At 37.7% G+C, this 13,840-nt stretch overlaps 1 protein-coding gene across 10 annotated transcripts in view, besides 2 other annotated features; it reads left to right on the top strand.

The window, feature by feature from the left end:
- COL21A1 (collagen type XXI alpha 1 chain) overlaps window positions 1–13,840 on the top strand; it is a 337,539-nt gene that overhangs the window by 135,086 nt on the left and 188,613 nt on the right. For 8 of the 10 annotated variants that reach the window (NR_134849.2, NR_134850.2, NR_134851.2 and 5 more), the window contains exon 1: window positions 11,463–11,656. The exons of the other annotated variants lie outside the window; for them this stretch is intronic. The gene's annotated coding sequence lies outside the window, so the exon portion shown is untranslated. Of the gene's footprint in view, window positions 1–11,462; window positions 11,657–13,840 lie in introns of those variants that run through there. 10 annotated transcript variants of the gene reach the window in all.
- Window positions 11,563–12,062: an enhancer, noted in NCBI's record as "OCT4-NANOG-H3K27ac hESC enhancer chr6:56111779-56112278 (GRCh37/hg19 assembly coordinates)". NCBI's record gives its function as "activates a minimal SCP1, AML or CMV promoter by ChIP-STARR-seq in primed H9 embryonic stem cells {active_cell/tissue: H9 hESC(primed)}" and the evidence as "EXISTENCE:reporter gene assay evidence [ECO:0000049][PMID:30033119]".
- Window positions 12,063–12,564: an enhancer, noted in NCBI's record as "OCT4-NANOG-H3K27ac hESC enhancer chr6:56111277-56111778 (GRCh37/hg19 assembly coordinates)". NCBI's record gives its function as "activates a minimal SCP1, AML or CMV promoter by ChIP-STARR-seq in primed H9 embryonic stem cells {active_cell/tissue: H9 hESC(primed)}" and the evidence as "EXISTENCE:reporter gene assay evidence [ECO:0000049][PMID:30033119]".

The following is a 13,840-nucleotide window of genomic DNA, read 5'->3' as shown; positions in this document are numbered from 1 at the left end:
GTGCAAATAAGTTTGGGATACAAGGAATAAAAGTTAAATGGGTATTTTTAGTTTTGGATTTTGCAGAGCCCTTAATATGTTAATAATGAATTGTGAACCTTAGGAGATGGGATATTGTATGCAGCAGCTCTCAAAATATTCCAAATACAGATCTGGTTTTTCTTTTTCTTGAAATATCTCATAGGACATGTGTTTGTGAAACACATTTGAGAAACGCTGGCTTGGATGCCTGAAAATTGCCTATCAGCTAATTATTCAACTGAGTTAAGATATGAAGATTCCAAAGCTTCTTTAAAATAAATATAAAAATATTTCTGGAGGTCCTACAATGTGAGCCATTATCAGTTAAAAACTTGCCAGCACTGACTCAACAAGTGACAGGTAGCTTGTTACCTGTGAGCCAAAACAGGTCTAGAGATGTGCAAATAGAGTGCATGTGTGTGGGCTTTGACTGGTGAGCACTTAAAGTTAGAGGGGCAGAGCAGACAGCATCTTTATCTTGTCATAAGGCTGTGACCTTACTCCGAGGCTTCCCTTGTAATAGAGTGCATGTGTGTGGGTTTTGTCTGGTGAGCACCTAAGGTTAGAAGGATGCATTTGAGGTCCTCCGTTGGATGCAGGTAGAGTGGAGTAGTTGGAGGTGTTATAGTGCAAGTTCAGGGGAACTTGGCAGCATGCATTTGCTAAGTAGCTGGGCAGAGGCTGAAGGGTACCTAAAAAAAGAGCACAGGGCAGACTCTGACTTTGGGGCTAAAGTCTAAGTATTTAATTTTAAGAAGTATGTACTCCTGAAAATAAATAAATTATTAGCTCCTGCTTAAAAAAATGGTGTTGTTTAAAAGTTATTGCTAAAAATACATGTGAATGTTGTCAAGAATTTCAGAAACTCCAAAGTTTCTGAGTAATGTTTAAAGAATGAGAAAGAAATGAATATTTTTAGTCAAAAAGACACCCCTTAAGAATATCATTTTTATCATAAAATAAGATGTACTTATTGTAAAAAACTTCAAGAATATAAAACATTAAGAATAAAAGAAAAATTACCCATATTATCCATAATCTCAATCCAGAAATACCTGTATATTATCTTCTACTTTCCCTTTGTCTCACTGTATAATTTCTGACTGATTAAATAATGAACATAAATTTTAATTATAATACTATAATTTAATGCAAGGGTTGACAAATCTGACCGGCCACCTGTTTTTGTAAAGCCCATAAGCTAAAAATGGTTTTTACATTTTTAAATTGTTGAAAAAAATTAAAAGAATATTTTATGATATTTGAAAATTACATGAATTTAAATTTCACTGTTCATTAATAAAGTTTTATTGGAATATGGTGATATCCACTTATTTACAATTTTCTGTGGCTGCTTTCACAGGACAATGACAGAATAGTAGTTGTAAAATTGACAGCATAGCCTACAATATTTGCTATTTGGGTCTTTACAGAAAATGTTTGCTAACCCCTGATTTAACCAATCCACAATTTGGGGGCTTTGGGGGTTTTTTCTTCATTTTTTCTTGCCCATTATAAAGAATGTGTTACTATTATATTTATGTGTTCATATATTTATATCTTGCATATAAATATTTGCCTACTTTTGTGATTATTCTATTGGGTATTTTCCTAAAAACAGAATTATTTTGTTAAAGGGTATGAATATTTTAAGGCTTCTGCTGCATAATGCCAAATTTTTTCCAAAAAGCTCAAACTAAGTTATACTCTCACCAGAACCATATGAGAGCTACAAATATTTTCCTTTGGCAAAATAAGCTCCATAGTACCCTGCCTTAAACTATTTTAAGTTCAATAATAAAACAAAGTGTTAATCATGTCCAAACTTGCTAGTAATGGGAATTTTCTGGGGGAATAAGATTCACATGCTTTTTGATTTTTATCTCTTTTTTCAACACAGCACTACATTTATTCAGCTTCTGCTTTTGACACATCCTGTTGTGAGACCTCACAGAACTTGCTTACTCCCCAGACATTGTAAATCAGTGTTTAATGGAGAAATCTTTCTTTATATTATGGGAAATATAAGATTCATCAGAGTCTGTATCTGATTTTGTATAAATTTAAATTTAGAGCTCCTCTGTGCAATGACATGAATTTACTTGTATTTTGTATGATTGATTATGGATAAATTCTAACTGAACCTGCCCATGCTCATTTCTCCTTTAACTGATAAATTTATTGGCCTCTTGAACAATGAAGCATTGTTCAACTAACATTGAACATGTTAGTTTCACTCACATGTGGGACTGCGAAGAGTATAGCAGTGACCATGAAAGGGGCCTCATAACCCCTTTTTAAAAAAGGGGTTTTTAAAATTTTTAAAAAATATTATTTGGCCAGAGAAGGGAGAGAACAGATAATTAGGCTTGAAAATCTTAAGTCTATATTTTACCCTCTTTAATGTGAACTATATTGTATAGAGTACAGCTTTGAATCTCTTCTTATTGGAAGCTTTACTTTCGATACTGCACATAAGTTATGCTGATTTTGAGTATTTGCTTATCAAGTTTTCAACGATCTAATTTGATGCGAATTAATTTTTTTTTCTGTCCATGGGGAACTTTTTTAAAAATTAAGAAACTGTCACAAAACAAATTTTCACTTAGAATGAAAATGCTGGAATTAAGATACATTCTGTTAGGATTTGAAAGGAAAATATATTGTTGTTTATGAGATGAGTATTTTTCATCTCTGTTCACAACCTGTATCCACCAGAAATAAAGGTGTTGCATCAGAAGCCCTATAAGATCATCTTCAGATTAAGTTTTCCAGATTTGTAAAGAACACAGTGAGACTAGCTGGAGCTGAGAAGTGTTATGAGACCATTGAATTTAGTAATTAGTAATTTTAGCCTGGTCTTTAACCTCGGTGTCATCTAGAGAACCTTATTTCTTTGTTCAGCAACTATTTAATGGGCTAACGTCTCAACTAAAAGTATTCAAAATCTTCTTAACTTTTCTTTAGGAAAACATCAGAATAATTCATAGGGAGACTCTAGAAGCATCCTCTTATATCCTTAGACTTCAGCAATCACTGAGAACCTTGGGTGAGAGCCTTTCTTCCAGCTAAGCCAAGCAGACCTCCTAGAATTGTTGTGGTTCAGGTTCAGAAGAACCCTATGGAGCCCATCCTGTGCCGTCCCCTCCTCTCAGACAGCGGCTGCGGTGAGAAGCAGGGCTGGGTCCCTTTTGGACCTTACCAGGTACATTGCGGCTTTCTTGAATTCAGCCCCCAAAGGCTTATCAGACATGAGCTTTTAGAAGCATTGAGGGTGAAGCCACATCTTTCAGATACACAGGTTCCAGAAGATGACTCTGCCACAGCAGAGGGACTGCTCTGTTTTAATAACTTGGCATCCTTGTAAGTATGACACACAGAGAGCCAAGGCATTCATGCCCACCCATTGCTGCTACATAAGGCTTCCTAAGTATGCTTGTAGCCACAGAAAAATGTTGGCAGAGCAGGAAGGAGTTATTTCCCTCCCTGTTCCTTACAACAGTATGTAATGCAGGCAGCTGGCCTAATTTCTGAAGACAAGTTCTAGAGATAGCATCTGATAAAAAAGGCATGCATATCATTAAGAAAAGACTCCCTTCACAGCGCTCTATGCAATTAGACTGGGGCAAAATCCATACAAACACTAAACACACACACACACACACACACACACACACACACACACACCCTCTTAACAACAGTGATCACTCTAGAAGGTTAGGAAAAAAAGATTTTATACCCAGAATTGAAAGAGACAGTTATGAATTTAGAAGACCATTTATTCCATTACCTATGGTTTATAGAACACGAGAAATAAGAAAATGCAGGTTGTAATGTATGATTATGATTATGACTTGACCGACCCCACAGCAATTAGAGCTGGAAAGAGCCATAGACATCATTTCATCCATCATCCTAATTTTTCATATGACATATAATGAAATATCTCTTAAATTTAATTGAAGTGACCTGTATAGTAGAGTATTTGAAATTAAACAGAATTGAAATTTAAGGGAATGAGTGCTGAGTCATTTACCTGAGGAAAATAATGTGAGTTGGATCATAAATGGCTTATCATGACAGAAAAAAAAATCTAGGGATAATTAATGAGAATTTGTGAAACTAAGTAGTACAGGATTCTTTTTCTTTTTTAAAGCAAGCAGCATACTGTGGGATGTCTTCTTCAAGTAGTCTTCACTGATTTTCTTCATGAAAAATTACCCAGAGACCTTTGCAGCACTTGAAGAAATCGAGGACTGCTAAGAGAATAGCTGGAGTAATAAAAATATGACCTTTAAGAAAAGTTAAGGAGCTGGGATTTTTATAGCTTTTAGAAAAACACACCAAATAACTTCAATATTCTCAAATATTTCCCATTTTTTCACATACGCTCATACACATCCAACCAAGGGAGCTTTATAAACAATTATTTTGTTATGTATTGATAAGTTAACTTCAAAATTAATAGAAATTTAATTCTGTTATTGATCCCAGCCTGTTACTAACCACATCTGTAAAGAATCCAAGTACTTACAGAATCCTTGTTGATAAACCTCTATTTTCAAGTTTTAACCATAATTCAAGGGGAAACCAGTACTTACTATGTGCTTTCACTTTAGATACATTTCAATCAAAATAAATTAACTAACAAATAATGTATCTTCCCTCTGCTTTGAGGATGCCTGTATATAAACGATTTCAACACAGAGGCCAACCACCTCTTTGTCCTCCCTCTTAACTGGGTTACCACAAAGAAGCATCTCTCGAAGAGTTTCTGTAAGAAGAAGCCTAATAGGAAATCATCTCTTAGCTAGTTAGAAATAAGGTAGTTTCTTATTTTTACATGTGGTTTAATGTGAGGAAAGTTGAATTGGACTGTCAGCCCTAAGATAAAAATATGAGAAATGTGAGCTAAGCCCTAGGAAATATGATTTCACTCAATGTTCTCTTGGCCAGAAGAATTTGGGACTCTGAAATTGAGGATGATAAAATAGAATAATTATCTCCAAGTAGTCTCTGAGTACACTTCAGTGTATATTTGTGATTTTTTTCATCTTTACCTGTCAATTTGGGGTGTTACATCTGGATCTAAGAACATGCTTTCCGAAGTAAGACTTGCAGGTTACTTAACCAAATTAGAATCAGTCAAATTTCCTTGAGGTTTTGGACTTTTAAGAGAACTTATTAAAATAGTTATTATTGTTGCCAAGCTCTTTTAAGCATTTATATTTAGCATTTAAAGCAAAATATTTGAACAGAATTTAAGATACAAAAGGATTTTATATGGACATTCTGTTTTCTTAAGAGTCTTTCAGTATCTGAATTGCTTTTGCGTGTTCAATTTAGAGCTCTTCTGGTTGAGAGCGACAGAGACTCAATTCAAATGAGCTTAAACAAAAAATGCTCACATAGGGAAAAATACAGAAGTAGGCCTAGTTTCAGTAATGGCTGGATGTAGCTACTCTAATGATGTCAGTAGCTTGTTTTCTGTCTTTCTGGAGTTCTACTTTTCTCTGTGTTGGCTTCATTCTCAGTCAGTGTCTCTCCTAGGAAGATCTAGGCTTACATGGTACTTGGAGTTCACAATCTAAGAAAACAGCTAACTAACTCTCTTTTCTTCCAAAGTCCTGGAGAGACCTCTAACTGGCCCCATTTGGGTCAAAGGTTCATTTGTAAACCAGTCCCATGTGGACACTGGCAGGTTGAATGTCCCAGTGATGTTTTCATACGAACCAAAATCAAGGACTACTACAATCACTCCTGTAAAATCATAGGCCTCTGGGCTGTGATGTTTCTGGAAACAGCAGCCCAAGGTCTATAGTTCAGCAGTGAGCATCTGAAATATTTCCCAATTATTTTCAGGGTAGGGCTATGAATTCATGACCTGTGCAGCACTTAAAGAAATATCAGAGGTTGCTAAGAGAATGATTGTTGTAATGAACATATCACTTTTAAGAGAAGTCTGGAAACTGGGATTGTTCTATTTTCTTAGATAGAATACATAGGTCATATCTGCTTAGATAGAATACAGCTATTGTGTATTAGGCTCTTCGATTTATCCATCAAACTGGAGGTGTTTATAATCCAAGGATATTGTTGTTGAAAGGAGATAGAGGTGGCCCCTGTCATTCGTTCTAAAAAGCCCCAGGGAAATGGTATATCTTTTCTCTCCATGCAGTGGCTGTTTTGTTTCATTTTGTCCACCCAGCATTCATTTTTCCTTTTTATGGTAACAGCATCCTGATTTTCTTTGAGGATATTTTCTTCCCCATTGTGGGCAATTTTAGTAGGGCAGTAGAATTACATGCCCTACTCTCTCCTAATCTAAAGGGTCAATAGGTGACCCAAGCTAAACCAATGGAACTCACTGTCTTTATACATCTAGTAGATTAATATATGAAAAGGAAAATGTAGCATATTTATACCTTTGTTGGTATCCTTTAAAGATGCTAAGTAGTTCCTGATACCTGGTCTCTGCAGCTTTGTCTGATGCCTCTTTTTCAAAACTTAATTTTCCAGCCCTTCTGGGAGCTACTCATATATTTCCAAAGGATTCATTTTTTAAAAAATAAATTACACATAAACAGCTTTTGTGCTTGCAACCAGAGGGCACTAACCGATGTAGAAGTTAGGGCTAGAAGCAGGGTACTGCAAGTTAAGTTACGGAGCTTAACATGCAAAATTACCTAGTCAAAGGAAGATAGAAGGCAGAAAAGACTCCTCCATCCAGGCCTGGAAAGTTGGCCATTATTGTTATGCAATAAGGGAAAAGCTTGTTAAGCTGTAGCTTGTAGTAATTGGGAACTCAGACCACTTGAATCTTTCAGAGATGCAAAAGGAAAATGTGAAGGTATTGAAGTTTCTTGGCTACATCTTGTAATCTTCAGTAGGATCCTAGGAGAAATTGATACATTTAAGCTGAAGCTCATTCTGAAAGAAGAGAAAGAAGAAAGAAGGCCTTTCTAGAGATATTCTGCAACCTGCAAAACAAGATGGCTTAAAGCCTGATACTATGGAGTCTTGGACAGTTAGAAAAGCCAAATTCTCTGTCTCCTGAGGAAGTTAGTGTGATCAAAAGTAGCACAGTGGAAACTACGGAAGGAAATAAGATGGCAGAGTCCTCTGTTACTTCTCACTCCCTTCACAAATATCCTTGATTTAAGTTTTGCATTTACATAGGACTGCTAGAGGAAAAAGTGAGGACATTGTCATATTTTCTTGGGATAACCCTTCCTGCAAACCTAGAGAGAGCATTTGAGAACTGCTTGTCTTTGTGAATGGCCACTGTTTTAGAGTTAGCTATTTATGTCCTGGGTTAAATTTCATTCACTAGACTAGACATTTCATGAGGGAGGACAGGGGCTAGTCCTGTTTATAGGTTTTAGAAAAAGTATGCCAAATAACTTTAATATTCTCAAATATTTCCCATTTTTTCACATACACACTCACACACATCCAATCAAAGAGCTTTATGAACAATGAGCTTTTGCTCATAGCTACATCCCAAAAGTCTAGCCTGGTGCCTGGAATAAATAACATCAATTTATTCAGTATTATATACATTGATGTTTTTCTCCCTTGGACTTGTCACATTAGGTATTCATTCGATAAATATTTGTTTACTGTTCCCATGGGAATATAATGAGAAACAATGTAGATATGACACCTGCTCTTAGTGGTGCTGTGTGACTTAGGTTCACTGTGGTAGATTGATTAAATATAATTTAGTTGAGAATTTGAGACTTAAAATGCCATAATATAGTAGTCATTTAGGCTTATTCTTTTGAAGAAGAGGAAGAATTATTACCTTAGCAGGGAATTGAGGAGCCCTGAAGAATCAGGATAGAGGTATTTCTAAGAGAGCAATATATCAATTACAGCCAATCTTTATGTAACAGCATCTTCTATCTTGATAGCCTGCATTTGGATGAGGCAGAGGTGAGACAGAGGACTGTAAGGGAAATGAAGGGCTTTTTTGATCCCTTGTGTTCTAATTTTGGGGGTCTATGACTTAAATATCTGTTATTGAGGAGGAAGAAACAATATTGTAAATTTGGGCACAATAATGTTCTAAAACAAACATTGGGAAGTTTAACTTGGCAAGTATATTCTTTTTCCTAGTTTGTAAATTTAAACATTTAAAGCCATACAAGTATTTAGTAATTAAATAATATTAATCAGATATAAAAAGATACTCTCTTTACTAAAATGAATAGCTCAAGAAATTTAGACCTTGCTAGAATATATGGGTTTATGGTAACTGCATTAGTTTTCTGTTGTTGCATGACAAATTACCACAAATTTAGCAGCTTAAAACATCACAAATAGTTAATATCACAGTTTCTATGGGCTAGAAGTCTGAGTATGGTGATGCTGGATTGTCTGCTGAGAGTCTCAGTGGGCTGAAATCAAAGTGTTGGCTAGGGCTGAGGCTCTCATCTAGGCTCAGGGTCATCTTCTAGGCTCACTGGTTGTTGACAAAATTCATTTCCTTGTGGTTGTACAACTGAAGTCTCTGTTGTTCCTCAAGCTGTCAGCCTGGGATGGTTCTCAGATCCTAGAGGCTGCTCACTGTTCCTTACCATGTGACCTCCGCAGGCAGTTCATTACATGGATGATAGCTTTCCCCGAGGCCAGCCAAAGCATGCCTCTCTAACTTCCTCTTCTGTGAGGAAACCTCTCTGCTTTAAAGGGTTCAGGTGATCAGATCAAACCCATCCATACAGTCTCTCTTAATGTTAATTCATTTAAAACCTTGGTTATATCTGCAAAATGCCATCACAACAGTTTCCTAGTTTAGGTTAGTTTTTTCTTCTTGTCCTTCTTTTCAATTAAAGGAGTTGTCTTAAAGGAACCCTATGAATATTTCCCTAAGTATGTATGTGCCACATGGCATATTTTGGAAATGGGGATGATGAAATCAAGCAACGATTGTGCAGACATGTTTTAAAAAATTGTGAATTCACTTAGGACAAGAATAGTTCTCTAGAGAGCCATGACAAAATTTAGAGGAATATTTTACAGTTCAGTTAAAACCAGTGCATTTTATTTCTTATTTTTAATAACATCTTTATTGACCTACAATTCATGCATCATAAAATTTACCCACTAAAAGGGTACAAATCAGTGTTTTAAAACTGATATATAATTCACATACTGTAAAATTGACCATTCTAAAGTCAACAATTCAGTAGTTTTTAGTATATTCAAAATCGTCACTATCAGCACGAACTCCAGAGCATTTTTATCACCCCAAAGCAAACCCCATTCCCATTAACACTCACTCCCATTTCTTCCTTCTACCAGCACTTCATGTATTATAGGTATGGATTTACTACGTACTTCAAGTAGTTATGGATTTGCTTATTCTGAACATTTTATATTGACAGAATCATACAATAAGTGTTTTTTTGTGTGTGTGACTGGCTTCTTTTAGCTAACATGCTCAGGTTCAACCATGATTTAGCATGTAGTGTTTCATTCCTTTTTATGTCAGAATAATATTCCATTGTAGCGATATAACACTTTTCTTATCCATTCATCCGCTGATAGACATTTGGGTTGTTACTGCCTTTGGCTTTATGAGTAACATTCCTATGAATATTCATATAGAAGTGTTGATGTGGATATATGTTTTTGATTTTCTTGGCTATCTACTGAAGAATGAATTTGTCAGGTTATAAGTTAACTCTACATTGAACATTTTAGAGAATGGCAAACTGTTTTCCAAAGTGGCTTAATCATTTTTACAAGCCCACTAGGAATATATGAGTGTTCCAATTTCTCCATATCCTCCCTAACACTTATTGTTTTTCTTATTTTAGCCATCCTAGTGGTATAAAGTGTATCTGCTTGTGGTTTTAATTTTCATTTCCCCAATGGCTAATTATGTTTAGCATTCATTCATGTTCTCATTGGCCATTAGTAGATCTTCTTTGGAGAAACGTCTAAATACTTTGTGCATTTTAAAACTGTCTTTTTACTCTTGAGTTGTAAGATTTTTGTATATCTGGACACAAGAATCTAATTGTATAGATGGTATGCAAATATTTTCTTAGTATGTGGGCTGTTTACTTTCTAGATAGTGTGATTTGAAGCACAACATTTTAAATTTTGATGGAGTCTAACTTATTTTTTCTTGAATTGCTTGTGCTTTTGGTGTCATATCTAAGAAGATGTTACCAAATCCAAAGCAATGTTCTCCTATCATATTTTTGTAACAGTAGAATCTAACATGAATGAATAAGGAAATTCAGGAAATGATCATTTGAAGATGTTTGTATCACACCTGAATTAAGTGAGATTTAGTTATTGAAGAAGGCATTTCTTTGTGAACCTGTTCCCACAGGGAGAAATTAATTCACACATTCATTTAGCCAATATTTATTGAGCACCTTGTATATTCCAGGTATTGTTCTAGGCTCAGGGGACACAGCTGGGAACAAGACCAATTTCCTGCCCTCATAGAGCATACCTTGAGTTGGATAGGAAACACACACAAGCAATGAAGATATGAAAACCTTCAGATAGCAATAAGTGATCTGTTGAAACCAAAGTGGGGTTGGGCATTCCATTTGGATGGGATGTACAGGAAGGACTCACTCTCAAAGTGTCTCAAAGTGTCACAAAGAGTGGATAATTTGATGAACAGAAGCAAGCAACTATGATAAGGTCTGGGACAGAGTTTTGGAGGCAGAAGAAATGCCAAGTGAGATGAGAACACACTGGTGTGTATAAGAAAGGGCAAACAGGTCTTGTGTGTGTTGGGGTAGGAGGGGTGCACACGGGTGAGAAAAGAAGAGTTGCAGATAATAGGGAAAGCATATGAATGTTAAATAACTTTCTGGCTGCTCTGTGAAGAATGCACTCAAAGGGGCAGAGCAGACAGCATCTTTATCTTGTCATAAGGCTGTCACCTTATTCCGAGGCTTCCTTTGTAATTGCTAAACCCTTAAAGGTCACTGCCTACTTGACTATTTGAAAGTGAACTTCCCTCAGGTTTTGGAGCAGCTGTTACTTTTGGTTGAAAGCAAGGAACATCAGTCCGCTGCAACGTACCTTGGCGCCCCAGAGGGGGGTTCTTCTTGGGCAAGGGAGGCAGGCCTCCTTCGATCAGTGCAGGCGATGCTCTGGTGTTGCCCAAGTCTTTGCCTCCTTTAGTGCTTGCCCTTTCAACTGAGTTGCCTTTCCTGCTTTCCTGGCAGTCCCTTATTTTGCCTCTCTCCTCGCGCTTCCCTGGTCCTCCTTCACCCTCGTTTTCAATCCTCAATCGTGCATTTTCTGATGCTAGCAGGATTTGAACTGAGTGTTTCCACCAGGGCGACACTAGCAGTTCGCCCTTCAAGATCCAGATCCAAAATCCACCCTCTGGTCTTCGGCCAAGGAAAGGGGGCGGGTGGGGAGCGCGAACCTTATCTCCCGGGCTCCGCCTCCAGGGGGCTGAGAGCGAGTTTCTGAGCCTCTGAGCTCTGCACTGGCCGCTGCAGGGAGAACGGACTCCGGGCGGAGGGCAGCCAATCCGTTTCAGCGCAGGTCTTGCTCGGGTTGGGCTTGCCACTGCCTGGAACATACCTGTCCCCCTGGCGCAACACTCAGCTGGCTGCGACGGCAACCCCGAGCCTGGACACTGCGCCAGGTAAGGAGACACCTCCTACTCCCCTCTCGCTGCCAGAATGACATCTCGGGGGGCCTCAGGGCTGGCTCTCCAGGGGCTGCAATTTGGCATTTTGGGTTTCCTGGGGGTGCAGTCTTCTCCCTGCGCCAAAGCAGTTGGTGAACTGTTCGGTGAATTCCGCGCCCAGCTGGAGGCTGAGATGTCAGGATTTGTCTTGCAAAGTTACTTCATGTTAATGAATCTTGGGAGGTTCTCTGGGTGCAGATTCCTGCCTTGGAGTGTTTGGCTTCTGAGTACGATAACGTGCGTTGATTTACTCCCCTGAGCTCAACCCCACCCTCAGCTTTTAGCTTCTTGGAAGGGTCTCCAGCGTCCACACGTGGCGCTGAGCGCGCAGAGCTGTGGGTCTGGGGCTGTGTTGAGTGGGCCAGAGGTTCTTTACGGCTGCTGCATTATGGACTCACTCCGGGACCTTTAAAAAAATCGATGCTTGAGCAGCACCCCAGACCAATTACTCAGAATCTCTGGGGGTGGGACTTTGAGCATTAACATATTTAAAACTTTTGTCAGGTGATTCCAAAGTGCAGTCGAATATAGAAAGCAGCGAACTACAGCAGTGATTCGCTGTGTGGCATCTGGCCCGCAGCAGCAAGCACCTGGTAACTTTGAGAAATACAAACAAAATCTAGGGCTCTAGCTCCGCCCTAGACCCACTGAACCTAAAACCCTGAGGCTGGTGCCCAGAAACCTGTGTTTTAATGAGCCCTCCAGGTAATGCTAGTGCTTGCTCAAGTTTGAAAACTGTTGGGTTGGACCTTACTTAATCAGAGAAGACACCTGCAAATTTCCCTTCACCAAGGGAGGAGGCAACAGACCACTTTTCAGAAGAACCTTAGTTATTTATTAGTAGAGTTTTGCCCATATTGAAAAAAAAAAAGCATACTGGGGACTTTGAAAGATCTTATAAAGGGGAGACTTAAGCATCATCGAATAATTTTTAAGCAGTAGAATTTGTATACTTGCTTTAGGAGAGAATAGGAATTTTTCCTTTTCTAAAAGTTGAAATGAAGCCAAGGAAGAAATATACATGAGTCTTCCAGCTGTAATAACAGGAATCTTTGACCCCTGATGAAATGTTCCTGGATCATCACTGTCATCAGTGCAGGTTACAGCATTCATATGCGTATTTTGTCTTTTCCTAAAGTAGTTGAGGGTTTAAGGGATTCATGCCAATTCTCTTTAGTGAAAGGGAATTCAGTGTTGCAGGCCTCTGGATTATTGAAGTGGACCATTTTTTTTTTCTTTTTATAGATATCTGAGATTTCAAAATTTTGGCTAAAATAGTTCCAGCTGTTTCTAAGCCATTAGTTCAAAAATAGAATGACTTTGCAAATGGGCTTAAATGGATTAGAAATCTGACACTGGATAAGAAAATCTAGAATAGGCATGACTCCAATCCCAGCACATGCGTGCTGCAATGAACACAGGGCTAACTGTACCAAGACTTCCTGTACAGAGAACATTTATTTTCCAAACTGCTTTTTTTCTGTGCCAATTTGTGACTGAGGTATATAAACTTGTTAAGGGTTAGGTACTAAGCTTGTATTTAGAGAATCTGGGGGAAATTTAGATAGTGGTTAGGAACAGGAACTTTGGTCTGAGGCAGACCTGGGTTCAAGACCTGCTCTTCTGCTTCTCTGTGCTCTTGGATAGTTGCATAGCTTCTCCGAGCCTCATTTTCCTTATCTGTGAAATGTGGGGCGTACTAGTACACTTACCTCATAATTCACATTGTTGTCAGAGTTAAATAATGCTTCTAAAGTGCCTAGCATAGTAAGTTAAATATTTGTTAGCTCAAAATACAAACTCATGTATACACACCATCAAACAACATAATCCTCAACCACCTTAAAAGAAGATCTATGTTGATACATGATTAGATTTTTATTTAAATACCAACTGCACTCTTAGAAGGTGACTATATGGACATCCTCAAATTATCCTTATAATTTGATTACATACTTTATATGGAACTTTCTGGAAAAAGTTTTAGATTAGCTTCAAATCAATAGCCTAGGTTTTTTTAAGTCACTGTGGTGAAGGATTTCACCTTCTGGTAGCCTTTATAATGTATTAACATTCATATTTAAATAGCCGTAAAATCTGGTTCTTCAGAATACTTTTCTTTGTAAAAGAAAATCCAAA

The sequence above is a fragment of the Homo sapiens genome, chromosome 6 (assembly GCF_000001405.40).
Source record: "Homo sapiens chromosome 6, GRCh38.p14 Primary Assembly".
Lineage (NCBI taxonomy): Eukaryota > Metazoa > Chordata > Mammalia > Primates > Hominidae > Homo > Homo sapiens.
This window is presented reverse-complemented; position numbering and strand designations above follow the sequence as displayed.